At 52.4% G+C, this 25,633-nt stretch overlaps 2 protein-coding genes and 1 long non-coding RNA gene across 47 annotated transcripts in view, besides 6 other annotated features; 1 reads left to right on the top strand and 2 right to left on the bottom strand.

Moving 5' to 3' along the window:
• The window catches only part of MRC2 (mannose receptor C-type 2), a 65,928-nt gene extending 55,720 nt beyond the window's left edge, over window positions 1-10,208 (bottom strand). For all 3 annotated transcript variants that reach the window (NM_006039.5, XM_047437208.1, XM_011525543.2), the window contains exon 1: window positions 9,958-10,208. In NM_006039.5, coding sequence (NP_006030.2) covers window positions 9,958-10,075 — 118 coding nt within the window. In that variant the 5' untranslated portion in view covers window positions 10,076-10,208. The remainder of the gene's footprint in view (window positions 1-9,957) is intronic.
• Window positions 6,471-7,327: an enhancer, noted in NCBI's record as "H3K4me1 hESC enhancer chr17:60707912-60708768 (GRCh37/hg19 assembly coordinates)". NCBI's record gives its function as "activates a minimal SCP1, AML or CMV promoter by ChIP-STARR-seq in primed H9 embryonic stem cells {active_cell/tissue: H9 hESC(primed)}" and the evidence as "EXISTENCE:reporter gene assay evidence [ECO:0000049][PMID:30033119]".
• Window positions 9,579-9,648: a silencer, noted in NCBI's record as "silent region_8810". NCBI's record gives its function as "represses an Ori minimal core promoter by ATAC-STARR-seq in GM12878 lymphoblastoid cells {active_cell/tissue: GM12878}" and the evidence as "EXISTENCE:reporter gene assay evidence [ECO:0000049][PMID:35858748]".
• On the top strand, window positions 9,828-11,441 carry LOC107985020 (uncharacterized). 2 transcript variants are annotated; one of them, XR_001752961.3, is made up of 2 exons: window positions 9,828-10,033; window positions 10,869-11,441. It is a non-coding gene; the product is annotated as an uncharacterized LOC107985020 (long non-coding RNA). The 2 variants fall into 2 exon arrangements; XR_001752962.2 differs by lacking the exon at window positions 9,828-10,033 and adding an exon at window positions 10,361-10,639.
• Window positions 9,849-10,288: a silencer, noted in NCBI's record as "silent region_8809". NCBI's record gives its function as "represses an Ori minimal core promoter by ATAC-STARR-seq in GM12878 lymphoblastoid cells {active_cell/tissue: GM12878}" and the evidence as "EXISTENCE:reporter gene assay evidence [ECO:0000049][PMID:35858748]".
• Window positions 11,482-11,982: an enhancer, noted in NCBI's record as "H3K4me1 hESC enhancer chr17:60703257-60703757 (GRCh37/hg19 assembly coordinates)". NCBI's record gives its function as "activates a minimal SCP1, AML or CMV promoter by ChIP-STARR-seq in primed H9 embryonic stem cells {active_cell/tissue: H9 hESC(primed)}" and the evidence as "EXISTENCE:reporter gene assay evidence [ECO:0000049][PMID:30033119]".
• Window positions 11,983-12,483: an enhancer, noted in NCBI's record as "H3K4me1 hESC enhancer chr17:60702756-60703256 (GRCh37/hg19 assembly coordinates)". NCBI's record gives its function as "activates a minimal SCP1, AML or CMV promoter by ChIP-STARR-seq in primed H9 embryonic stem cells {active_cell/tissue: H9 hESC(primed)}" and the evidence as "EXISTENCE:reporter gene assay evidence [ECO:0000049][PMID:30033119]".
• Window positions 18,505-19,016: an enhancer, noted in NCBI's record as "H3K27ac-H3K4me1 hESC enhancer chr17:60696223-60696734 (GRCh37/hg19 assembly coordinates)". NCBI's record gives its function as "activates a minimal SCP1, AML or CMV promoter by ChIP-STARR-seq in primed H9 embryonic stem cells {active_cell/tissue: H9 hESC(primed)}" and the evidence as "EXISTENCE:reporter gene assay evidence [ECO:0000049][PMID:30033119]".
• Window positions 22,397-25,633, bottom strand: part of TLK2 (tousled like kinase 2) — a 144,568-nt gene continuing 141,331 nt past the window's right edge. For all 42 annotated transcript variants that reach the window (XM_024450552.2, XM_024450553.2, XM_047435179.1 and 39 more), the window contains one exon: window positions 22,397-25,486. In XM_024450552.2, the coding sequence (XP_024306320.1) occupies window positions 25,313-25,486 (174 nt within the window). In that variant the 3' untranslated portion in view covers window positions 22,397-25,312. The remainder of the gene's footprint in view (window positions 25,487-25,633) is intronic.

The following is a 25,633-nucleotide window of genomic DNA, read 5'->3' as shown; positions in this document are numbered from 1 at the left end:
AAACAAATGCCACCGTGGACAAGGTACTGTGCTGGAACCTGTGTAGTGACAAAAAGGCCTTGCTCTGGAGGTGTTTGAGGGACGACAGCAGTAAAATGCTAGAGCAGCCGTGGAGAGAAAGGCTTCTTCCAGCTGAGGGTAATCAGAAGGTCACAGGTGTGAGTTGGGACTCAGAAACAGCCCCCTGGGAAGCTGGTGCTCCTGGCAGGGAAAAAAAGCCTGAGCAGAGTCCGGGTTGGGCAGTACTGGGAGCTATGGGAACGGTAAGGAGCTCAGCTTGACCTGCACAAGCACTGAGAAGGCCGGGAATTCTTTCTTTTTCTTTTCTTTTTTTTTTTTTTTGAGACACAGTCTTCCTCTTTTACCCAGGCTGGAGTGCAATGGCGTGATCTCAGCTCACTGCAACCTCCACCTCCAGGGTTCAAGTGATTCTCCTGCCTCAGCCTCCCGAGCTGCTGGGATTACAGGCATGTGCCACCATGCCCAGCTAATTTTTGTATTTTCAGGAGAGACAGGGTTTCACCATGTTGGCCAGACTAGTCTCGAACCCCTGACCTCAAGTGATCCACCTGCCTCAGCCTCCCAAAGTGCTGGGATTACAGGCATGCACCATCACACATGGCTGATTTTTGTATTTTTAGTAGAGACAGGGTTTCACTATTTTGTATTTTTGTATTTTTAGTAGAGACGGGGGTTTTACCTGGCCAGGCTGGTCTTGAACTCCTGACTTCAGGTGATCCGCCTGCCTCGGCCTCCCAAAGTGCTGGGATTACAGGCATGAGTCACCGAGCCTAGCAGAAATTCTAAATTCAGAAAGTTTACATCGATTCAAGCTTCCCCTTAGCAGCGCTAACCTGGCAGCAATGCCAGCTCTGGACTGAGGGTGGAAGGGAAGACCCTAAGGGAGGAAACTGTGGATGTAAATTACACCACAAAGGCCGGGGGAAGAGAGTTTTCAAAAGTGTCCATTGGTCCAGGTGCAGTGGTTTGTGCCTGTAATCCCAGCACTTTGGGAGGCCAAGGCAGAAGAATCGCATGAGCCCAGAAGTTCAAAGCCAGGCCTGGGCAACATAGTGAGACTCTGTCTTTAGTTAAAAAACAACGACAGGCCAGGTGCTGTGACTCACGCCTGTAATCGCAGCACTTGGGAGGCTGAGGCGGGCGGATCACGAGGTCAGGAGGTTGAGACCATCCTGGCTAACACGGTGAAACCCCGTCTCTACTAAAAATTCAAAAACAAAATTAGCCAGGCGTGGTGGTGAGTGCCTGTAATCCCAGCTACTCGGGAGGCTGAGGTGGGAGAATGGCGTGAACCTGGGAGGTGGAGCTTGCAGTGAGCCGAGATCCCGCCGCTGCACTCCAGCCTGGGCGACAGAGCGAGACTCCGTCTCAAAAAAAAAAAAAAAAAAAAAAAAATCAGAAGATTACCCAATGAACTACTACTAATCTTCATTGGGGAATCTTGGTTGGGAAGATTACCCACAGAATCTACCAGTGGTAGACTGTGGCCTGTGCTAGTGTGTAATCAGTGTAGTGTAAGGGAGTGGACTTCACATTTTTTTGCACTTACTTGTGTATGGTTTGAATGTTTTCCACTGAGCATGCATTTTTACTTTTTTTTTTTTTTGCGACAGGGTCTCACTCTGTTGCCCAGGTTGTGCAGTGGTGCAATCATAGCTCACTGCAGCCTCCAACTCCTGGGCTCAAGTAATCCTCCTGCCTCAGCCTCCTGAGTAGCTGAGACTACAGGCACGCACCACTGTGCCCAGCTAATTTAAAAAAAAAAAAATTGGCCGGGCGCGGTGGCTCACGCCTGTAATCCTAGCACTTTGGGAGGCCGAGGCAGGTGGATCACGAGGTCAGGAGATTGAGACCATCCTGGCTAACACAGTGAAACCCTGTCTCTACTAAAAACACAAAAAATTAGCCGGGCGTGGTGGCGGGCGCCTGTAGTCCCAGCTACTCGGGAGGCTGAGGCAGGAGAATTGCGTGAACCGGGGAGGCAGAGCTTGCAGTGAGTGGAGATCGTGCCACTGCACTCCAGCCTGGGCAACAGAGCGAGACTCCGTCTCAGAAAAAAAAAAAAAAATTCTAGACACAGGGTCTTGTTATGTTGCCCCAGCTGGTCTCAAACTCCTGGCCTCAAGCAGTCTCTCCTCCCGTGGCCTCCAAACGCACTGGAGTAACAGGCATGAGCCACCATGCCTGGCCCATTCTTACAATTGAGGCCAATGAACAGCATGCATGCTGCAAGGTGAGGCCTAAGAAAGGTCACTTAATTTAGTAATTAGGGAGCCTCATCAGTATGACCCTTGGGAGGCAGTCCCTCAGACAGTAGGCTAAAGGCAACTAGAGGCAAAAAGGGGAGAGGTATGCCCAACCATCCCAGTGTTCCCTAGTCTGTCTTGGTTTTATTCCAGAGTCCCAGGAAGCTCCTTATCCTTCCCTAAATGAAGGTTAAATAGAGAAGTGTAAGGATGAAGAGGAAGGTGATAAAGAGGATGGTGATAAATTGAGGGGCTTTAGGGGGTAGGACCATTGAGGGTGGGATTTTTTTTCTTTGGTATTTCTTTTACTTTCAGAAAAACTATGATTACTTTTTGGCACTTACAGTAGTTAGCAAAGTGTCACGAAGAAGTAATGCCTCTGATTGAGGCTATTTCTGAAAAAAAAAAAAAAAAAAAAAGAGAAAAATAGCAATGAAGTAACAGGTTCAGACCTGCTTCAATTTAAAAAAAAAACAATGGGGCTGGGCATGGTGGTGCACTTCTGTAATCCCAGCACTTTGGGAGGCCAAGGCGGGTGGATCGCCTGAGGTCAGGAGTTCAAGACCCGTCTGGCCAACATGGTAAAACCCCGTCTCCACTAAAACTACAAAAATTAGCTGGGCGTGGTGGCACGTGCCTGTAGTCCCAGCTACTTGGGAAGCTGAGGCAAGAGAATCGCCTGAACTCGGAAGGTGGAAGTTGTGGTGAGCCAAGATTGTGCCACTGCACTCCAGCCTGGGTGACAGAGGGAGACTCCGTCCTAAAAAAAAAAAAAAAAAAGTTGTATCAGAGGTGTTCAAACCAGAGCAACTCCATCTTTAAAAGGGGCTGGGTAAAACGAGGCTGGGAACTCCTGGGCTGCGTTCCCAAGAGGTTAGGCATTCTAAGCCACAGGATGACACCGGAGGTCAACACAAGACACAGGTCACAAAGACCTTGCTGAAAAAACAGCACGCAGTATAGAAGCCACCCAAATCCCACCAAAACTAAAAGGTGACAAAAGTGATCTCTGGGCTAGGCGTGGTGGCTCACGCCTGTAATCCCAGCACTTTGGGAGGCTGAGGCAGGCAGATCATGAGGTCAGGAGTTCAAGACCAGCCTGGTCAACATGGTAAAATCCCATCTCTACTAAAAGTACAAACATTAGCCACGTGTAGTGGCACATGCCTACAGTCCCAGCTACTTGGGAGGCTGAGGCAGGAGAATTGCTTGAACCTGGGAGGCAGAGGTTGCAGTGAGCCAAGACCACGCCATCGCACTTCAGCCTGGGCAACAGAGTGAGACTCCATCTCAAAAAAAAAAAATGACTTGTGGTCATTCTCACTGCCCATTTTTTTATACACTAATTATAACGCATTGGCATGCTAAAAGATACTCCTATCAGCGCCACGACAGTTTACAAATGTCATGGCAACGTCAAGAAATTACCTTATAGGGTCTAAAAAGGGAAGACTCCCTCAGTTCCGGGAATTGCCCACCCCTTTCCCAGAAAACTCATGAATAATCCACCCCTTGTTTAGCATATCATCAAGAAGTAACAATTGTATAAGCAGCTGAGCCGTCAGTGCTACTCCTCTGCCTATGGAGTAGCCATTCTTTATTCCTTTACTTTCCTATTAAGCCTGCTTTCACTATTCCCTATGGATTCGCCTCAAATTCTTTCTTGCGTGAGTTCCCTCTCTTGGGGTCTGGATTGGACCTCCTTTCTGGTGACAGCTGTAGTTAGGATTTTTTTTTTTTTTTTTTTTTTTTTTTTTTTTTTTTTTTTTTGAGACAGGGTCTCACTCTGTCACTCAGGCTGGAATGCAATGATGCAATCGTGGCTCACTACAGCCTCAACCTCCTGTGCTCAAGCAATCCTCCCATCTCAGCCTGCCCAGTAGCTGGGACTACAGGAATGAGCCAGGACACCCAGCTTTTTTTTTTTTTTTTTCTGTAGTGACTGGGTTTCGTCATGTTGCCCAAGTTGGTCTTGAACTCCTGGGCTCAAGCCAGGATTACAGGCATGGGCCACCGTGTCCAGCAGGATTTTGTATATTGAAGACTGTGTTTTATCATATTTGGGAACCTTGATAGTCATGTTTTCTCTTTTTTTTTTTTTTTTTTTTGAGACGGAGTCCCGCTCTGTTGCCCAGGCTGCAGTGCAGTGGCATGATCTTGGCTCACTGCAATCTCCGCCTCCTGGGTTCAAGCAATTCCCCTGCCTCAGCCTCCTGAGTAGCTGGGACTACAGGCGCCCCCACATCACACCCAGCTAATTTTTTGTATTTTTAGTAGAGATGGGGTTTCACCGTGTTAGCCAGGATGATCTCGATCTCCTGACTTCATGATCCACCCGCCTCGGCCTCCCAAAGTGCTGGGATTACAGGCATGAGCCACCTCACCCACCCTTTCTCTTCTAATAAAAATAGCAATAATTTAGTATTGTTTGCTAAGAAATTATTCTGTGCCCAGTAGTGTACCAGGGACATATCTCATACGTTCATGATCTCATTTGTATGTAATCTTATAATACCTCTACAAGAGGTATTGATTTTTCCCATCTTATAAATGAAGACACTTGAGCCTCTGCCTGAGGTCACATAGCTGGTGAGTGCCATCAATCCTGGTCCCACCGACTCTGTCCCTATTTACATTTCCAGAGGACTGACGGGGGGAAACACTGCCAGCCATGCCCACACTCCTGCCTCATCTACAGGAGGAAGGGGCCACTGCTCAGCCTCGCACCCGGCTGCCTTCAGGGAAGGCTGGGGAAGGCTGAGGAAGGCTGGCTATAGTGTTCCCTACATGTGCCCTCCTGAGGTGATCCCTGGGAAGGAGATAAACAGAGAGGCCACCCATCCAATCTGGGATTTGTCACCATGGGCCATGTCTGTGTGCTTGTCTCTCGTCACCCCAGGTCAGCCCAAGAGGCAGGGACCAGGCTCCCTCAGCGTCCTCCCCAGGATCCTTGAGTCTCGAAGGAAGGGTCACTGGAAGGTGGGAAAGAAGAGGGGAGGGGAGGCACACCAGGCAAAGTGATCGTGCGTGGGCAGAAGCCTGGAGGTGGAGAAAGCTGGGGCAGGACAAGAGACCAGAGGCATGGGGGGCCGGGGAAACTAGGAAGAAGTTGGTCCTTCTTCTACAACAAAAACCAGAGCTGCGGAGGGCAGAATGCACAGTCAGAGAAAGAGAAATCAGGAGGAGTGGGAGGCTGAGGGGAGCAGAGCGCAGGTGGAAGGGTCTGCGCTGTGAGAGTGCAGAGCCAAGAGGCTGGTGCCCAGCGGCGGAAGGAGAGACGAGGGGCCAGGGGGAAGTGCAAGAAGGGAAACAACCGGTGGAATTCCACGAGGGGCCACAGTGTGCAGTTGAGGGGGTCGACCCAATCTGTTTCCTAAAGGGCTGCAGCTGGTGGACCCCGGCAGACCCCGGTGTCACAGGTGCCACTGGACAGCCCTCATCCAGCTGCCGTTTACTGGTACAACCCCTAGCTGAAGAGTGACAGATCTGCAGGGCCCAGGGTGAGCTCCAGGAGCGCGTCACCACCCCACTGGCCCACCCCACCCAGATTCACAGGACCCAGGCGTGGGAAAGCGGCCCCCTCCCATCTCACGTAGGCCTGAACAGGAAGACACGCTTCCTATCAGCAGTGCTCAGGCCTTCCAAGTCCAGGGACCCCCACTGGAGACACGGTGGGGAGGTCTCAAATAAAGAATAGGCCATGGCCATCTCTACTTCAGTTCTGCAGGAGCTCAGCAGACACCCACTGAAGGAATGAATGAATGAATGAACAACCATGTGAATCCTTGACCTCAGGGAAGCTGGAGTGCCATGCTGGGGCACCTTGAGTCACTCACTTATCAATGCCTTCTTGGAGGGGGTCCCTCAGAGATCCTGAGGACACTGCAGGCGGCTCGGTCCAGGCCTCCTGGACCCACAAGGAAGTGGCTGACCCAAGCGCCCAGACCGCTGACATGTGACAGAGGGCTGCTCGCTCCACCCTCCTCCTCAGGAGTCCTCCCGGTGGGACACATTGAGAGGTGTCCTAGAGGGCTTGGAGTTATGGGGGCGGGGAGAACACATAAGGCAGAATTTCCCAGGCTTTCCTAACACACACACACTGACAGTGCTTCATGCGATGGAAACGCTGTATGGTACTGGAGCGTTCAGGCTCCGTAACCACTCCTGGGTTCGAATCTCACTGGTAACACCTTCTAGTGGTGTGGTGGCACAGCCTTGAGTGACTCCCTTAACATCTTTAACATTTTCACGCCAGGTGTGTGCAAATCTCTGACACCTGCTCAGAGATGGGAGGTGCCGAAGAGCTACTGCCAGCACAGGACCCAGCACGGCGCCCACCACATGCACAGCGCAGCCGTGGGTGCCATCGCTCCATCCCTCTGGGGGTATGGACAGTGCAACAGGACTCCTCCTCGATGCTTAAACTGATGAGGAACTCAAATGAATATCTGCCTGAGAACTGCATGGCACTTCCGAAATCATCTCATTGAGCCAAGTCACGGTGCCCTACGTGCATCAGAAAGCCAGGATTTCTCTGGTGCGAAAAATGGGGGCCAAAACCCGGGGTTCTTCCTCCCCTCCATGTACCCTCACCTTGCCCAGGTGAACCCAGAAGAGAGCCAGGATCCCAGCACTAGCCACAGCTCGGCTGGGCACCTCCTGGGCCCTGATGACTCACAGAGAGCCAGAGGGTTGGAGCAAGGAAAACTGAGTTTTGCGTGGGGGAACAGTAAGAAGTTTCCGAACCCCACGACTCAGCAGAAGCTGGGCCAGAAGTGTAGGGAGCTGGTCTGGCTGACTCTGGTCAGAGCCCCAAGTACCCGATGCCACCCTCCCTGTCCTTTAGGCAGCACCGACCTTCCCCACAGGAAGATTTCCTGAGGTCTCCTCACCCCATGGCCTTGAGACTTGATCCCTGGAGCTCCCAGAAGCCCCTTTCCCAGCAACTATCCCCTCATTCCTCTGCTCGGAAACCTCCAAGGGTCCCCTGGGGTTCCCCACAGCCAGCTTGCAGGTCCCATCCCCATTCTGGCCTCCCAGGCACCTCTTTCACTCAACCTTCTCCCCGGCCCAGCCAGCAAGCTTCCACATCATCCCCAGAAGAGCCCAGCCTGGTGGCCCCTTCCTGCCTCTCTCCAGACAGCCTTGGCCACCCTTTGGCCCATACGGTCTCTCCTGCCTCCAATCTCCAGACGGGAAGCATCCACACTCCAGCCTTTCACTTACTAGGGGTGTGACCAATGTAAATGATCAGACCCCTCTTAGCCTTCATTTCCTGAACTGCAAAAATGGTCCAACAATAACCATCTCCTTGGGTTGTTATCAAAATGAAATGGGAACTTGCACATGAAGGGTTGAGCGTGGGTCTGGGCAGGCAGGCATCCCACCAATGGCATTCTGCCCCCTACGCAGTTCACTGTTCCACGTTTCATTCTCCCACACGATTTTCTTTTTCCAGAGGATGCATCTTACACTCTTCTCTACCTTCCCTCCTCCCCAAGAACTTGGCTCAAGGCTGAGCAAACTGCATGCTCCAGAAATGCGGTAATATGGCAACTAACAAAGAGGACTCCTTCCAGTGACAGTCTCCGCGGGCCACTCCACCAAGGTGGAGAAAAGATGGATTCCACCATCACGCACCAAGAAGGCACTGCCGCCTCGCTGCCCCTGCCCCGTGCTCTGGGCACACAGGGCTCCCCCATGGTGGTCAGGAAACTGCCCACACGCAGCCCCTGCCCTGCCTGGCATAAGCCTCGCCCCCAGCAGCACTGGCCTGCCACACCCTACCTCCCACATGCATTTCCTGGGCTATTTGGTCTCTGGTGCTGGTGAATTCCTCCCAACAACAACGTAATTCACCAGGTACTAGGGGCTGCCAGCTCTTCGGGCAAGGAATTCGGCCCAGAGGCTCTGAACAGGCTTCCCAGGGTAGGGCCCAGTGGAATTTGGCAGGGCAGGGGCAAGCGCACTCTGTGCAGAGGGCACGGTTCCGAGGGAAGGAACCTGCAGCAGCTCCATCCTCCTCCTGCTCAGCTGCTGCTGGAAGACCTCACACTGCCTGCCACCCAGATCCAAGCCTCCTCAGGGTGTGGTCAATGCAGTGCCAACGGGAAGGGGACCCTCTGAGGCTATTCATCCCTGGACACAGCCCCAGGGAGGGCCAGGCACAGAGACCAGGAGGAGGAGGGACACTCCAGGCGTCCTTGTCCTCCCTGACCGGGCCTCTCACCAGGCACTTCCAGCCCCCTCTATGAAAAGCTCCAGGGGGAAAGGCCGAGTCAGCACTCTGGCCACAACTCTCTCCCAGGGCCTGGCTTTAAAGTGTGCTCTGGAGCTCTGGGAATGGCCATCCTCCCCACCCCTTCCCACCGCCTGCCTCCTGAGGCCCTGCGCAGAGGAGCAGAGGAAGGCAGGAGTGCGAGGAGGTAGGGGAACTGCCTGTGAGGCCGCCCTGCAGTGGGTTAGGGGGTTACCCGGCCTGGTTTGTGTCTGTCCCACATTCAATGCCAGGTGGGCCCAGAATTGCCCCGGGGGTCTCCGGTTGGTGTGAATGTGGGTCACCGTGGCCCCCACCTTTCCCATCTGGCAGATATGTGTCTTGTGCCTACGTCACGCCAGGCCAACCCAGCAAGCACGGGCCAGGCTGGAGGCCCCAGACTCTCCAGGGGGCTGTCTGGTCCTTGCACAAAACTGCAGACACTGCACGGACTGTCCCCATCCCCCAATTAAACAGCCAGCAGGACCAAGCTGGGCCGGGCGATTCCCCCGGTCACTCCAGACACCCCCACCCCCACTCCCCCAGGAAGTGGATCTTTCCTTTCAACTCTTAGATTCTTGGCGAGGGATCTGTCTGTCCCCACACTTCACTGTTACCCCTGAATAAGGAGCAGGAAGAGAATGGCACAGTTTTGGGGTTTTCTGATTTTTGTTTTGTTTCCTGTTCGTTGGGTTTTAAAATCTTTAGCAGCTCTTTTGCCGCTCAAGGTCTGTCCCCTCTGGAGGGCCACTAGTGTGCCCAGAGCTGCCCACGCTACGCAACATCACAGCACGGCGGCGCCCAGCCTGTTGCTGCGTCCCAGTGGCAGGAGCCTCCTCACAGGGCTGCCGAGCTCACGCGGGGCGGATGCCGCGCGCCACAAGCCTCCTTGAAGACTAAGTGTGGAAAAGAAAATATCAACGCCCACGAGATGCAGGGGGCGGGGGGAAGGTGGGGGAAACGAACCCTCGCGGATAGTTGGAAAGCCGTCCTAACGCATCAGTCCTGGGGCAGAGCGAGGAGACTGGGCCCGGGAACTCCCGGACAGAGAGCCCTGGCTCCCCGGGCGCGCCCTGCAGGTCCCCTGCCGAGGACGGGCCGGCGCCGGGTGGTCCGGGAGCGCGGTGCGCGGGGGTCCTCAAGAGCCCACCCGCTTCCTCCTAGGCTGCTGGAGTCCCCCGGGCTCCCCTCCCCCGCCGCCCGCCACATCTGGTTCCACTCAGGTCCTCCCCCACCTCTAGGCGCGCTCCTCCTCCCCTCTCCTCCCCCGCTTTCAGAAAAGCGGAGACGAGTTTTAAAAACCCAGTCACACACACACGCACACACGCTTCTGGAGAAAAGAGGGGGGAAAAGGAGGGAAAAGTCGAGAGCGGCCCGCGCCTCGGCGCTCCCCCCGCCCGGGCCCTGAAGTTGGCCAAGTTGGCAGCGCCTTACCCGGGAGGGCGGCGTCCCCAGGGGCGCCGGGACGGCCGAGGTGCAGGCACCCGAGGAGCAGGACGCAGCGCAGCAGGTGACGAGGCCAGGGCGCGGGGGCCGGCCGGCCGGGCCCCATCCCCGAGCGCGGCGCTCAGTGGACGCGGGGACCGAGGGCGCACAGGCGCAACGCGCTGTGGCAGCCCCGAGGCTGGGCTGTGATGACCGCCCGCAAGGGGCTCGCGTCCTCCTCCGGGTCGGGACGAAGTGATGCCTCCCGGGGAGGAGGAGGGAGGAGGCAGCCCGGGCGGAGGGAGGGCGGAGGGAGGAGCGCAGAACCGGGGAGGAGGGTTCGAGGGGTAGAGGGGAAGGGAAGTGGGCAGCGTGGGAGGGGAAGGGGAGGAGGCGCGGGTCTGGGGCTAGAGCGTCGGGAGGGAGAGAAAGGGGTGGCGGAGAGGAGGACACGCCGGGTCCAGGAGGACCCCAGCGTGCGCCCTTTCTCTTGCTGCTCTGTTTCCCAGTCTCTCCCCGCCTCGCCTTCCCTCTCTTCTGTCCCGGCCAGGATCCCCAGACGCTGCGTCACAACTCCCCCGCTGGCGCGGGCGGGGAAGCAACTGCAAAACTTTCCGCAAACTTCACGGCGTGGTGGGACCTGGGCTACGAGGTCCGGCCAGCCCGGGGCGGGGGCGTGCAGCTGACCCAGGTGGCCAGACCCGGGCCGCCAGCATCCGCCCCGCCATCCCGCCTCTTTCTGCGGGCGTCTCCAGCAGCCTAGCATCCCCTACCTCCATGCCGAGGAGGACCCCTCCCCCGGTCTGGTGGGGAAGGGGCGGAGCCCAGGGCCTGGCCACCAGGGCGAAGATTGGGGGAGGGGGAGGCAGAGCCCTTGTTACGTGTGCGGAGCGCAACAATTCTTGCACGTCTTGTTTTAGCATTTTCGTGACCCCTGTGTCAGTGTTCCCGGTGCAGGAGTGTAGCACTTTTGCTTGTTGGGGCTGCATCCAGAAACCTGGGGAAAATCTGTCCACTGGACGTCTCAGAAGACCGGCATCATCACTCCCACCAACTGGACTGCTGGCCGGTAGCAAAAGACCAGCTGGAAATTTCATAAAAGGTTAGACAATCCACAGTTACTCAGTGTTACGCAACAGGTCTCTGCAGCACAGAGCACGAACTGGGGAGTCAGGATGCTGGAGTCCAGCCCTGCCTCTCTGCGGATTCCCTGCCTGACCTTGGGAAAGCCTCTTGGGGTCTCGGGGCATAGGGCAGGACTGAGACGTTGAGACCCCAAGTGCAAAGAAGACACATTTCTCCTACCACGAGTAATCAAAAACACTATGAAACTGTAATATGGGCCGGGTGCGGTGGCTCACGCCTGTAATCACACTTTCGGAGGCCGAGGAGATTGAGCCCAGGAGTTGAAGACCAGCCTGGGCAACATAGGCAGATCCCATCTCATTTTGTTAATATAAAATTTTTAAATAATAATAAAACTGTAATATAAATTGTATTGTTTCCTATCTTGTCCACCTTGGTATGTTTTTTGGAAATAAATTCAATTTTTTTCCTTTTTATTCCTCCTATCTTGGGTAAATGTTTCCCCAACTCTGCAGTGGGGGTGTTGGGTCAGAAATGCTCACTCGTCTCTTCCCATCTCTGTCAGGCTGAGGCTCTTGGTAAACAGTCCAGTGGTAATAGAGCCTCGAAGCAAGCCCCCACTGAAATCCCCTAGAGGCCCCTGGAAAGGGTCCCATTAGCCACCCTTTGGTTAGCAGCCAGACCAACAAAGCCCCTGCACTCCACGGCTAGCTTCAGCAGGTCCGACAGGGCCAGGTCCCTTCTGGTGGCTGTGGCTCCACTGCCCCTTGGGACATGTCTTCTTGGTGTGGCATGTTCTGGGATCTCAGTCCTCTGCACACAACAGGCCATGCTGGAGCTGCCTCAGAGGTCCCCCTCTTGGCCTTCCCTCTTGCACAATCCTGTAATCTCTGAAGGATTTAAGGATTTGCCGGCTAAGCTGCTCTCTCGCTCTCAGAACACAGGATACTCCTTCCCCTGAAACAGGGCTGGATTCCCCCTTCTCCAGCAGCTTGAGTAGGTTTCGGCGTTTCCTGCTGGCCTTCCCTCCTACTATCAGTGGCAGGACAGAAGCCCACCCCTTGACATCACCAGCGCAGAGCATGAGGCCAGAGAGCCCACCACTTGCCGGCACCAGGTCCCGCCATGCCGGGCACACAGGAGGTGTGCTCTCGTCTCTTCACCCACCGGCTCAACAAGCACCGACTGCTAGCCCTGTGCTAGCTGCTAGAGAAAGAGAGATGGGCAAACACAGTTGCAGCCCTAGAGGAGCCTCATTTAGTGGGGGAAAATAAACGTTTTGCCATATTCCAGGCAAAGAAGACGCAAGGGCTGAGGAGCACAAAAGTGTGCTGCTCTCGCAGGGACAGAGGTTGGTTCAAGCTTCTAAGGCCCAGTTCTAGTCTCTGTCAAGGGTGAGACTTCCTCCTCCAGCGCGAGACTTCCTCCTCCAGCGCGACATGGTTCCACACTGTGTTCCACTGACTTCTGCTGATGTCTGCAGCTGCCAACTGCTTTTGATCTTGACTTTGGGGCAGAAAGCGGGGAAACATCTGGGAGATTCTCCCTGTGGAGAATCCGGGCCGGTTCCCTACTGCATAAAGATCCTGTGCAGGCTCAGTTGTCAACAGAACATGGTCACAGTCTGTAGGAGTGTTGGGTGTTGTGAGCAGCATGGGACTTTCGAGGAACCCCTCATCAACACCCAGACCTTCATCTGCTTCCAAAGAAGGGCCAGCGTCCTCTGTGCCCACAGCCTCCTCACCATTCCTGTGCCCACAGTTGAACAGCCGTTTATTGAGGGTCAGTATGTGTCAGGCATCAGGCTAGATGCTGGAGACTTAGTGAGGTCTCTGACTTGTCCAGGGGATTTTTGCCAAGATGGTATTCGCTATCGTGGAACTGAAGCTGAGAATGGTTCTCCCCTAGACACTGACCAACTGTCAGCCAGCAACAGGTACTGAGGGTGATATGGTTTGGGATCTGTGTCCCCGCCCAAATCTCATGTCAAATTGTAATCCCCAGTGTTGGAGGTGGGCCCTGGTGGGAGGTGATTGGATCACGGGGGTGGATTTCTCATGAATGGTTTAGCACCATCCTCTTGATGCTGTTCTCATGACAGTGAGTTCTCACGAGAACTGGTCATTTAAAAGTGTGCAGCACCTCTCCACTCTCTGTCTCGCTCCTGCTCCAGCCATGTGAACTGCTGCATCCCTTCCGCCATGATTTTAAGTTTCCTGAGGCCTCCCTAGAAGCTGAGCAGATGCCAGCATCATGCTTCCTGTACAACCTGTGGAACCATGAGCAAATTAAACCTCTTTTCTTTATAATTACCCAGCCTCAGATATTTCTTTTCTTTTTTTTTTTTTTTGAGATCAAGTCTCACTCCATTGCCCAGGCTGGAGTGCAGTGGTGCAATCTTGGCTCACTGCAACCTCCACCTCCTAGGTCCAAGCGATTCTCCTGCCTCAGCCTCCTGAGTAGCTGGGATTACAGGCACGTGCCACCATGCCCAGCTAATTAGTAGAGAGGGGTTTCACCATGTTAGCCAGGCTGGTCTCAAACTCCTGACCTCAGGTGATCCACCTGCTTCAGCCTCCTAAAGTGCTGGGATTACAGGTGTGAGCCACCACACCCGGCCTGGTCTCAGGTATTTCTTTATAGCAATGAGAGAATGGTCTAATCCTGTATTAGCATCACCCCCTGTGGGTCTGCTAATTTCATCAAAACCAGTTTACGCCAGGTGTGGCGGTTCAGGTCTTGTAATCCCAGCTCTTTGGGAAGCCAAGGTGGGAGGATCACTTGAGGCCAGGAGTTAACAATCAGCCTGGGCAACATAGCAAGACCACACTTCTACAAAAATTTTTAAAATTAGCTGGGCGTGGTCATGGTGGTATGCACCTGTAGTCCTAGCTACTTGGGAGGCTAAGACAGGGGAAGTACTTGAGCCCCGGGATTTGAGACTGGAGTGAATCTATAATCACCACTGGACTCCAGCCTGAGCAACAGAGCGAGATCCTGTCTTTAATCAATCAATCAATCAAACAGTTTAGTGGAAGGAGTACAGACTTTGGATCCAGAGAAACCTGAGTTCAAATCCTGACTTCGCCATTTCCCAGCTTTGTAACCTGCAGCAAGTTATTAATGCTTTAACTCTGAGCTCACAATAATTCTTACTTGTAAATGGGGCAACTTGAGATGTTTCCTACCTTGGGAGTTAAATGTTAAGTGTAAAGCAATGGCATGGCCGCTGGATGAATGGGGATGTTCAGGGAATGTGGTCTCCTCCATCTCCCATCTTCCTTTGCCATTTGGACATCAGGGTCCTTACCCTTCACCCTGCCTGTCTCTCCCCTACCCTCCCACCCTACCCTGCCCATGAAATCTGCACATATCAGTTTTATCGGATTGTAACATTGAGTTTTACTTTGCCTGGGAAAACAATACAACATCCCTGCATTTTCTGAACATCTCCATATTTAATTGTGTACAAAAATGGTACCCTAAAGTGTAAAGTAATCTAATAAGAAGCATGCTCACTTTGGCTAATAAATGTGTGTCCATAAACAGCTCGGCATGGGGCAGTGGGGTGAGTCCAGGCCTGGGGAGTGGAGGTGAGTGGAGTTCCGGCTCTGCCATTCACTAGCCACATGTCCTCGAGCAAGTCATTTCCCTTCCCTGAGTCTCAGGTGCCCTGTGAGGTGTAAGTTTTGGTGTCATTACTCACTGTGCTTAGGGATCCTCTGGCATTACTCTCCTCTTCTCTGGTTCTGTGGCTCAGGAGCCTCTCCAGCCAGAGGGTTCCCAGGGGAGCAGAGCACTCCAGCAGGCCAGGTCTACAACAGAAGCTTAGGAAAGAAGAACTCAAGACAGGGAGGGAAAATGCAACTGGATGGCTTGGTAGGGTAGGAGGCTATAAAGAAAGACTTGGGCCGGGTGCGGTGGCTCACGCCTGTCATCCCAGCACTTTGGGAGGCTGAGACGGGCGGATCACAAGGTCAGGAGTTTGAGACCAGCCTGGCCAATATGGTGAAACCCCTTCTCTACTAAAAATACAAAAATTAGCCGGGTGTGGTGGCGGGCGCCTGTAGTCCCAACTACTCAGGAGGCTGAGGCAGAAGAATCACTTGAACCTGGGAGGCAGAGGTTGCAGTGAGCTGAGATTGCGCCACTGTATTCTAGCCTGGGTGACAGAGTGAGACTCTGTCTCAAAAAAAAAAAAAAAAAAAAAAAAGACTTGGCCAGTCCTTGCCTGAGGCAACTAGAAAAGAGGCAGTGACCCCAAAGGGTTCTGTATGACCTGCCCCACCCTGCACCTTCTCCAAGCCAGGGAAGAGGACTGGCCAAATGTGGGGCTGGCCCAAGTGGGTCTCACCCTCTCTTCTCCCTGGCTCCTGCATCTCAAATCCCCGGGGCTCCACTCAGGCAATCCACTCCAAGTCCATCTGGCTACACCCTCGTCTACACCACCAAGGATCCTAGAGGGGACTGGGCTAAAGAGGGAAGGAAGAAGGCAGGCTCAGGATTCAGAAAGACCCATAGTTCAATATCTAGTTCAACCTCTTCCAAGGGTAACTTAAAGGAACTATTTTTTCCCACGCCCACATGACTGGGGAACCTTATAGCTGGTCTGTCTTCTCTTGACTGGTCCACCCCAGCCCTCCTCACCATTCATCCAGCCACAGTTACAACCTGACAAAAATTCTGCCCACTTTCTCTAGGTTCTTTCCCTTCTCCCTTCTGTGGAGAACACCTAGAAGGGCTCCCCGATCCCAGGAAAGCCTCTGAGTTTATATCCACTCACTTCCAACCCAAGGCCTGTATTAGAAGAGGAATCCTTAGGCCAGGCGGGGTGCCTCACGCCTGTAATCCCAGCACTTTGGGAGGCTGAAGCGGGTGGATCACCTGAGGTCAGGAGTTTGAGACCAGCCTGGCCAACATGGTGAAACCCCATCTGTACTAAAAATACAAAAAATTAGCCAGGTGTGGTGGCGGATGCCTATAATCTCAGCTACTCAGGAGGCTGAGGCAGGAGGATCGCTTGAACCCAGGAGGTGGAGGTTGCAGTGAGCCGAGATGGTGCCATTGCACTCCAGCCTGGGCAACAAGAGCAAAACCCTGTCTAAAAAAGAAGAGGGATCCTTTAAAGGGACCCCAAATCCCAGCCTTTTCTCTACCAAGGGCTAAGAGATAGTTACCTCACAGTGTCTTCCAGGAAGCAGGAAGTACAGATTTCCTCTCCATGAACCTAGGAATCTGGACATCGACTCTCACTTGGAGGAGCCACCACGAAAACACTGTGAGCTGCCAGCGGAGTAAGCTCAAAGCGGGAGGGCTCAGGACTGCGAACCCCGGCTGCAGCAGGGGTCACAAAGCAAATGCCTCTCAGATCCTCGCTGGCTCCTGTCTCCACTGGGGAGGCTTGAGTGGGTCAGGAGCAAGCTGGCTAAGGGGAGCTCAGAGAGGGACAGAGGTTGCCCTGAGGCGCCGCAGTAAGGAAAAGAGGGCATCACAGAGCTGAGCTGAAGAACCAGTTGTGCATGAGTGAGATGGAGTCCCCAGAACTTTCTACTGCCCTCCCCAGCTGGGGAGGCGGGGAGGAAAGGGAGTCACTGAGATGGAGCAGGACGCCACTTAGGGCTCTGCTGGGCCTCCTAAGCATGGAAATAAAGGAAAAGTCTTCAGTCCCTTTTAAATGACATCCCAGGCACTTAGCTAGCCTTAAAAAGTCAATGAAGCCGGACACAGTGGCTCACACCTGTAATCCCAACACTTTGGAAGGCCAAGGTGGGGTGATTACTTGAGGTCAGGAGTTGGAGACCAGCCTGAGCAACATAGTGAGACCTGGTCTCTACAAAAATAAAATAGCAATCTGATAAATGTGAAGCTAAGTAACAATCGTCTCACAAGCAAGTCACTCACAAGGTGTTTTGATTCCCCATAGAAACTAAAAGATAACCTCTTAACATATCTTCTTGTGATGTTTCCAGAAACCTCCACCAGATGGAAAATGCCTCTATTACTATACAGACCTTAGATAAGGGGGAGCTGGGGACTGAACTCTGACCACTGTTCTTTGCCACGAGCCAGACCAGTGTATACCCTCCATGTATTTCTTGGTTTAAAATTTTGCCTGCAGCTTCTGCTATCCTGAAATGTAACCCCATCTTTAAAAACTCTTGCTTGTAAGCCACCAGGGAGTTCTGGTCTTTATTTTATTATTATTATTATTTTTGAGACAGCGTCTTGCACTGTTGCCCAGGCTGGAGTGCAATGGTGCAATCTTGGCTCACTGCAACCTCCACCTCCCAGGTTCAGGCAATTCTCCTGCCTCAGCCTCCCAAGTAGCTGGGATTATAGGCGTGCGCCACCACGCCCAGCTAATTTTTGCATTTTTAGTAGAGATGGGGTTTCACCATGTTGGCCAGGCTGGTCTTGAACTCTTGACCTCAGGTGATCCACCTGCCTCAGCCTCCCAAAGTGCTGGGATTCCAGGCATGAGCCACCACACCCAGCCTTAGGGAGTTTGGGTCTTAAGTGCTAGCTGCCTGTTCTTCTTGCTAGGCACCAAACAATAAATATGCTTTTTCCCGCTGCAAATCTCAGCATCAGTGCCTGATTTTACTGCAATGGGCAAGCAGACCCCAGTTCAATTCGGTAACAGTATCACCCTGACTACTCTACAAGGGCCTCCCCTGACCTGAAACCGCAATGCCTCTGAGCCTGTCCCTGCACTGAGGATGAGGCCGAGCCAGGAGTCCAGGCCTCCTCTGAGCCACAGCTGTAGTTGGGCTGGCAGCTCTGCATCTTCATGATGTCACCCGAGATGCTCCACGACCTTTCCCTCTGTCTCCCCAACTCAGGAAGGACAGGCAGGGTGAGGTTTCCTCTAGTCTCAGTACTTGAGCCTTCTAAGCAAGGCCCAGTCCCTGCCAACAGCCTTCTATGGCTCTCACTGATCCTGGCCCAGCGGAAGGCCAGGCTTTGCAGATGCAGAGCCTCCCCGATCCATCCCTTCCCGCCCAGGCCTCTGGCGGAATAGAGCCTGGACCAGAACAGGAGCCAGGAGGCTTCATCCAGCTGGCCCACCACCTCCACCCTGTCCCAGGAGGCTGGCCCCACCTCCCTCAGCGGAGCAGCAAGTAGGAGACAGGGGCACCTGGGAAGCACTGCAATGTTTTCCAGCTGTTTAGTGGGTGGTGACCAGCATTTTCAAAGTGCAGTAAAACACTAAATGTCACAGTGCACTGCACATGAGTTAAGCCCTGTGCTGGGGGATATGTTCTGGTTGAGATGTTAAGATGTTAGTCTGCTCACCTGACTGAGGAACTGCATCTGACACACTGCCCAGAGCTCCTCTTGGGTCTCACACCTAAGTTGCCTCACCCCACCTGTCTGGCTCTACGTCCCCTTCAGAGGCACTGGCGTTCAGCTGGTCCCAGGCTTCCCGAGGGGCAGCTCATGCTGCAACAACACGATACGGTGTTTGGAGCAAGGGAGAGATGCACAAGGCGCTGTGAGAGCCCAGAGGAAGGCTGGAGGTGACGCCTAAGCTGAGTTCTCCAAGATGCTCAGGCGGCCAAAGCGATGGAACGGCACTGGCAGAGGCCAGGATGTGTGAGATCATAGGGGCCCTGCAGTGACACACATTGTTTGTGAAGCTTCTAAGACCCTTTGCTGCTATGTTCCCCTCCTCAGCCTAGTGAACTCTGCTCCTCTCTCAAGGCCCAGCTCCGTGCCCTCTCTCCATCCCCAGGGTCTCATCTCGCTCTTACGCAACTCCCCACCTCCCAGCTCCCACTCAGCTTCTCAGCTGTAAGCTTCCTTAAGGCAGGAGCCAAGCTGAGGGGCCTTTTTATCACCCACAAATCCTGGCCCAGTGCATTAACAGAACGGCCCAACAGGTGTGTCTGAGTGGATGCATGAAGTTCATAGATGCAGCAGTTGTAGCTCAGAGTGGGAGTGCTTGGCTCAAGGTCACACAGCAAGTTGTGGAGTTGTGGCGTGAGCGCAGTCCTCACTCAGGGCTGTACTATGACCTTGTTCTACGATGCCAAAGCTGGGCACTTTTGTCCAGCTGACGTGGCAGAGAATGCCGGAGGAGGGGTATTGGTGTGAAGGTTGTGGGGAGGGTTGAGAGGGTTGCAGATGCAAAGGAGCAAGGCCTTCCTGGATGTGCTGCCCAGAGGCAAGCCCTGCTCTTAGGGCATGTGAGCCAGGCTAAAGGGCTCACGTCTGACACTATGACAAGCCAAGACCCCCACTGGGGGACATCTATGTCCTCTGGACATCTCTCCTGGGGCCACTGTGACATGGAAGTGGCCACCAGCCTCACCCTCTGTTTTATCCCACAACCCCTTTATGCCTTACAGCAACCTTAAGGAAGCCAAGGCAGAGGGTCCCATTCTCACTTACCCAATTAGGACACTCCGGAGCAGGAAGATGCAGTTTCTAGGGGCAGGACAGGCTTATGGCTTCCTAATCTATGAGCATGACAGGAGCAGAGAGGGCTTAGGGAATAGGCAGCACTGACATTCTGCAAAGCCACGCCTCCATTTTCCCATCTAAGTTCACTTCCAGCCCAGGACTGCAGAGCCAGTCTGCTGCCCACACTGGCTGAGTCTCCAAGTATATTTCTTCTGAGGGCCATAAGCCATGAGGCAGGGGAGGGACAAAGTGAAGGGAGTCTGGCGGAGGGGAGCCGAAGTGCAGCCCTTACCCACAGCAGCCTCTGCCCAAAAGATGGCACTCATAGAATCCAGCTCACCCAATGTTCAAGCCTGTAGGCCCTTCCTCCCCAGTCACTCCTGCTCCACCCACTGCTCGTACCAAACCTCTCTAGGCCTAAGTTTCCACATGTAAAATCAGAGAGTGGCTGGGCGTAGTGCCACAATGCCTGTAATCCCAGCAATTCAGAAGGCTGAGGTGGAAGGATCACTTGAGTCCAGGAGTTCAACACCAGCCTGGGCAACATAACAAGAGCCTGCCTCCACAACAACAACAAAAAAAAAAAATGGAAAAGAAGGAAAAAACCCATCAAGTTGCCCCTACCTTGCATATGGCTAGGTTGTGAAGCAACACAGCCGCGAAACTTCTTTGCAAAGCACAAGTGCTAGAGCCCCTTCTCTCTGCTATCGACCTCTGCTCCCTCTCCAAGCAGCTTTCAGGGTGAAAAGCCTTGGATGACACATGGGGAAGCCACCACAGCTGCAGGCTGCTTGCAAGGCTGAGGACAGCACAGCTCTCTAGCTGGGCACTTCCCTCCACACCCAGGAGTCAGTCAGTCAGCCAGCCAGCTGCTCTCTGACCCCCTCACCACGGGGTCTTCTGCCCAGCGCCTCACACATGTACACACACACCCCTTTGCTGACTCCAGCCTGTCTCACACCCCTGCTGGGCTCCCCCAGCACAATAGCCCTCTTGTATTCCCTGCCCCCACCAGGTCCCAGACCTGCTCCCAGGCCTGCCTGTTTTTCCAGCCTCTGGCAGGTTCCCCCTACCCAACCACAGAACTCAACAGCAACCTGAGTCTCTAGCCACTCCCCACCGCTTTAACCCTCCTCCTCTTCCTGGGACCTCTTCTCTCCCAGCTTTCCAAAGAGCTGCAATCCAGCCCTGGCCCTCCTCACCCCTCCCTCATCCAGTGGGCCAGGGTGGACTCATAAGCAGACCCAGGTCTTAGCCAGCTCCTTCTGCAGCCCTGGACCCCTCAGGTGAAAGGAAAATGTTATAAATAGTTGTTTTATATTTTAAGAGAAGGCCAAGGGTGAGAAGCTTTGCCCGAACGAGTGAATGTTTCTTCAGTGTATTGTTAGGTACTTGTGCAAGGGATATGTTGTAGGGGCCCTCCAGGTGCTCCCCATAAAGGCAACTATGTGGCCGGGCGCGGTGGCTCACGCCTGTAATCCCAGCACTTTGGGAGGCTGAGGCGGGCGGATCACGAGGTCAGGAGATCGAGACCATCCTGGCTAACACGGTGAAACCCCGTCTCTACTAAAAATACAAAAAATTAGCTGGGCGTGGTAGCGGGCGCCTGTAGTCCCAGCTACTCTGGAGGCTGAGGCAGGAGAATGGCGTGACCCGGGAGGCGGAGCTTGCAGTGAGCCGAGATCGCGCCACTGCACTCCAGCCTGGGCGACAGAGCAAGACTCCATCTCAAAAAAAAAAAAAAAAAAAAAAAAAAAGGCAACTATGTATGACATCATACGCTGTCGGACAGCCGACAGCGTTGGAGTTTTTTCCTAGTGTAGAAAATAACAGTCCTGTCTTCCAAGTGGGTGAGTTCAGAAGAGGCCTCATAGCCACCCTCTCTAATGACCCCACCCTTATTGCAGTAGTTGGCTGGCAGGAAGGGTGGCAGGACTGGTACCCTTCAGTGTTCATCCCGCCTGGGAGTCAGGTAGCCTACAGTGGCGTTCTCAAACTGGAGCCTGCATCAGCAACACCTGGAGGATGAAACAGCCTGTTAGGCACCCCCCCCTTCTCTTTCGGACGCAGTAGGAATGGGTGGGACCTGAGAGTATGCATTTCTATAAGCTCCCGGGTGATGCTGACGCTGCTGGACACCTTTGTCCATAGAGATGCTTCTCCCAGGTTCAGCCAAAAGCAGTTTTGGAGCCAGGGGAAGAGGAGATTGCTGGCCTTGTAAGATAGAGGTTGATACTGAACCTCAAGCCAAAGGGGCAGTCTCTTCAAAGGTCTGCATGTGGTATGTGGTGAGTAGAAGGCTCTGAACCTCACACTAGTGAACTTGGGGTTCCACTACTAGATCTTGTGATCTTTTTTTAAACCACATTTTTTGATTCCCCTCTTATGAGCAAGCCAGGCACTTTACATATCTTATCTCTACTCCTTACTCCCACAGTGCAAGGAGATATTTCTGAAGCTTGCAGAGGTGGGGTCTAAACCCAAACCTAAAGTCTAGGCTCTTAACCCTTCTGTGATTCTGCCTTAAGAAATGAGGCAGATAGCTTCGGCAATGAGAATGATGGAAGGAGGGAAATAGAACCCTTTTTTAGATAGCTGACATGTACAGGTCTGCCACAGAAGTGGGGACATACAGCTCTTCCTGGTGAGTCTCCATCTAAAGCTGCCCATCTCACACTGCACGAGCCCAGTTCCTTCCCTCCTGGGCCCTTACTCTCGGACTGCTGACTCCTAGATTGCCAGGCGTTCCCTGTCCTGTTCACTGCTGTATTCCCACCAACAAGCATCATTCCTGGCACACTTGAAGGTACCAAAGGTGTTGCATGAATCAACACATTCCCATGCCTGCAATGCCCTGAGACTCAGCCTGTTGCCAGGATTCTCCCAATCTGCACCCTAGGTGGTCAGGTCCCTGTGTGAAGCTGGAGAACTAGAGTCAAATCAAGAGGCTGGGAAATTTGCTTCTTAAAACTTATTTTAATATCCTTCTTCCCTCCCCCACCCCATTGGGAAAAGGCTAAAACAATCTGGATGGGTTTAATTACAAATTAATACATACTGTCATTGTGTAAAGTAAATCAACATTGTGGCAACAAGGGACTATTCTTGGAAAAAGTGAAACCCATATTAACAAAATATGTCATGGAAGAACCCCACTTAGTGATTTCACTGGCTGCTTGAAAGACAGTCAATGGAAAGGTCAATGTTCTGCATGTTCTCTGGGGCTTGTCCATGCCTCGGAAGAAGGTCTTGCCCGGACTCAGCCAAGCCTAGTTAGCTCCAAACAGGCCCTAGACCAAAAAAGCAAGGGAAGAGGGCATCCTTTCAATAGGACAAGGGTAGAAAGGGCAGATTGAAAGATAAAATCCTGCAGCTTCACTTAAAAGCCCACGGGGAAAAAAAAGGCAGGAAGTTACTGGGAAGGCTTAAAGAAAGACGCAGCATTTTTTCAACGTTAAAAAAATGTTAAAAAATTAAAAAACAAACAAATCAACTGCAAGATCATTGGAGAGGAAGAAAAAAGGAATAGAACTTCATTGTTTTCAGTGAGTTTGAACACGGTCTCAGCTTCATCCATGTCTTCATTATGCAGACACCATCCTCTCAGCACTGTGCTCGACCTGTGAGACCCTTTGCTTAGCAGCTTGGAGGAAATGTTTTTTTAAAAAAGGTACTATACACACATACATAAATGCACACGTTTATATGTGCATGTGTATATACATATAAATTGTAATAAAGTAGTTTTAGAAAGCTGGGGGTACCAAGGCCTCTGGGGTTGACTTCCTTGCATTCAGAATTCCACAGGACGATACCTACCCATGAACTTCTCTCCAATTTGAAACACTCCATCTTCCCTTAAGATCGCCTGATACTGAGGAGACTGAGGCAGGTCCACAAAACAAACGAAGGTCCTAGAAAATGTGTCATCAGTGACACTGTTCACATGTGAAAGGAACACTAGAGTCATGAGTTATTTGAGAGCTCTCTACCCTTTCTGACTCCCCCTCCCTGCCCAGACAACTCACAGGCCGGAATACTACATCTTTAAATATTTCTGGCTAAGCCCTCGCCACATATGTCAGTAACATTCCAAGCTGGCGACCACATGTTCAGGCTCTTGGCTCCCTCCCTCTCTACTGAGGAGTGCTCTGCTGTTTCAAGGGCACGGTGGGGCCACCCGTCTCCCATTTCAGCTCCATCTTCAGTTGATCATACATCTCAGAAACAACCAAATTAAAAAAGAAAATTGGTGCCAAAAGAATGTTCATATTTGAAACATCTATTTCTCCTTTTTTTTTTTTTTTTTTTTCTGAGACAGAGTCTCATTCTGTTGCCTAGGCTGGATTGCAGTGGTGCCATCTCGGCTCACTGCAACCTCCGCCTCCTGGGTTCCAGAAATTCTCCTGCCTCAGCCTCCCGGGTAGCTGGGACTAGAGGCACACGCCACCACGCCAGGCTAATTTTTATATTTTTAGTAGAGATGGCGTTTCACCATGTTGACCAGACTGATCTCGAACTCCCGACCTCGTGATCCACCCACCTCGGCCTCCCAAAGTGCTGGGATTACAGGCGTGAACCACCAGGCCCGGCCTGAAATATCTATTTCTTTTCAGATTATTTTTAAAATTCCATTTGATGAATCTTTTAAAGTGAGCTAGACAAAGTGTGTGTGTACATGCACACACAGACACACACCACCACACACCCACAAAATTCAGAGGCTTGGGGGGAAGGTTGTTTGCTGCCAAAAGATCTAACAGAAGAAAGCTTATGTGCTGATCAAGTTTTAATAACGTGGTTAACAAGAAATGTACACCATTTAGCAAGCACACAAAGACTATGGGTAGGAACTACTGATCCCTGGAGTGTCTGGCTCCCAAGCCCATTTTCTGCCTACCTTTGGCATAGCTTCATAGTTACTACATTCAGAGAATCCAAGAGGACTGCATGGACAGATGAACCTTTATTTAAAAAAATAGCACTTCAAATAAATTAAAAGGGACAACCGTCAAGTGTTCAAATTGTGAAGAAATAGTTGAAAACCTAGAGAGACTCCAAGCTGCAGTCTTCTAACCTCATTCTTTGTCCAATGGCAAAAACCCACACATCTCAGTACTCCCACTCAATTTTTTCCCTACTGAGATGAGGGAAGCAATTGCAAACAGGAGACCAGACGGAGGAGAAAGCTGCATCTGATTGGAATGAACATTGCCACGTACTTGCTAATACGGGTTTCACTTTATGACCAAATGTATTCTTTCAAAAATAAAAAAGGGGAGAGGGAAGCTGCATGTTTTTAAAAATTGAAATTATTTAGGGATAAAACACTAACTCTAGTGCCTTTAACGGGCAATAGCAACTTTTTTCCTCCGAAGTCAAACACCATCCCCAGCTGAGCCTTTGTGCTACAAGCTTTTCAGGAGATGTTACCTAAACTTTATTAAAAGAAAAGAACAAGTTTAAATATAGACACTGGACTAGCCCAGTCTGTATTTTCAAGTCCACATTCTTCATCTGAAGCACTGCATCAGGGACCCCCCTGAGTCTGCAAGTTTTCAAGTTCACAGTACATGGAACCAGTTTTTCTTTTTAATTTTTTCCTCACTCAGAGCAGCCACACACAGTGGCCGTTGACGCTGGAACCTCGGGCGGGGCCTTTTCCTACAAGGCCTGGCCGGAGCTGCCCAAGGTTTCTCCTCAATGAGAATCGATGCTGTCATGCTCTATGGATGGGAAAAAAGCAAGAAAATAAAAGCACCTGGTACAGGTTTCATCAGATCCATTCGGATTCGCTATGTTCCAAACCCGCTGCTGAACGCCATTTGTCCACTTTGTGTGTGTTGAACAGTTTGTGGCCTTGGAGTCAGTCTCAATTAGAAGAACTGTTATTGGACGCCCCAGAGGTTGATGCAATAGCAGCTCCAGCAGGGCTACTTGTAGAGACTGACTTTCGGATGTGAGGCAACAAGTAGGGATCACAGGCCAGCTGCTGGACATCAATGCGGTCCTCCTTTCGGTAGGCCAAGCATCGTCGAATAAACGCCTGCAAAGGAGAGTTTCTTGAAGACAGAGGCAGATAGTCTTGGCACCCCTGGAGGGAACCCTAAGGCTCTCTATCGGCTGCCAGGGCCCAGAGCAAATATCAACTAAAGAGAAGGGGCTTAAGGCCTTCCTCAGAAATCACCAGGCA

This window comes from Homo sapiens, chromosome 17 (assembly GCF_000001405.40).
Source record: "Homo sapiens chromosome 17, GRCh38.p14 Primary Assembly".
Taxonomy (NCBI): domain Eukaryota; kingdom Metazoa; phylum Chordata; class Mammalia; order Primates; family Hominidae; genus Homo; species Homo sapiens.
Note: the sequence above shows the minus strand (reverse complement) of the source record. Positions and strands in the feature narration are given on the sequence as shown.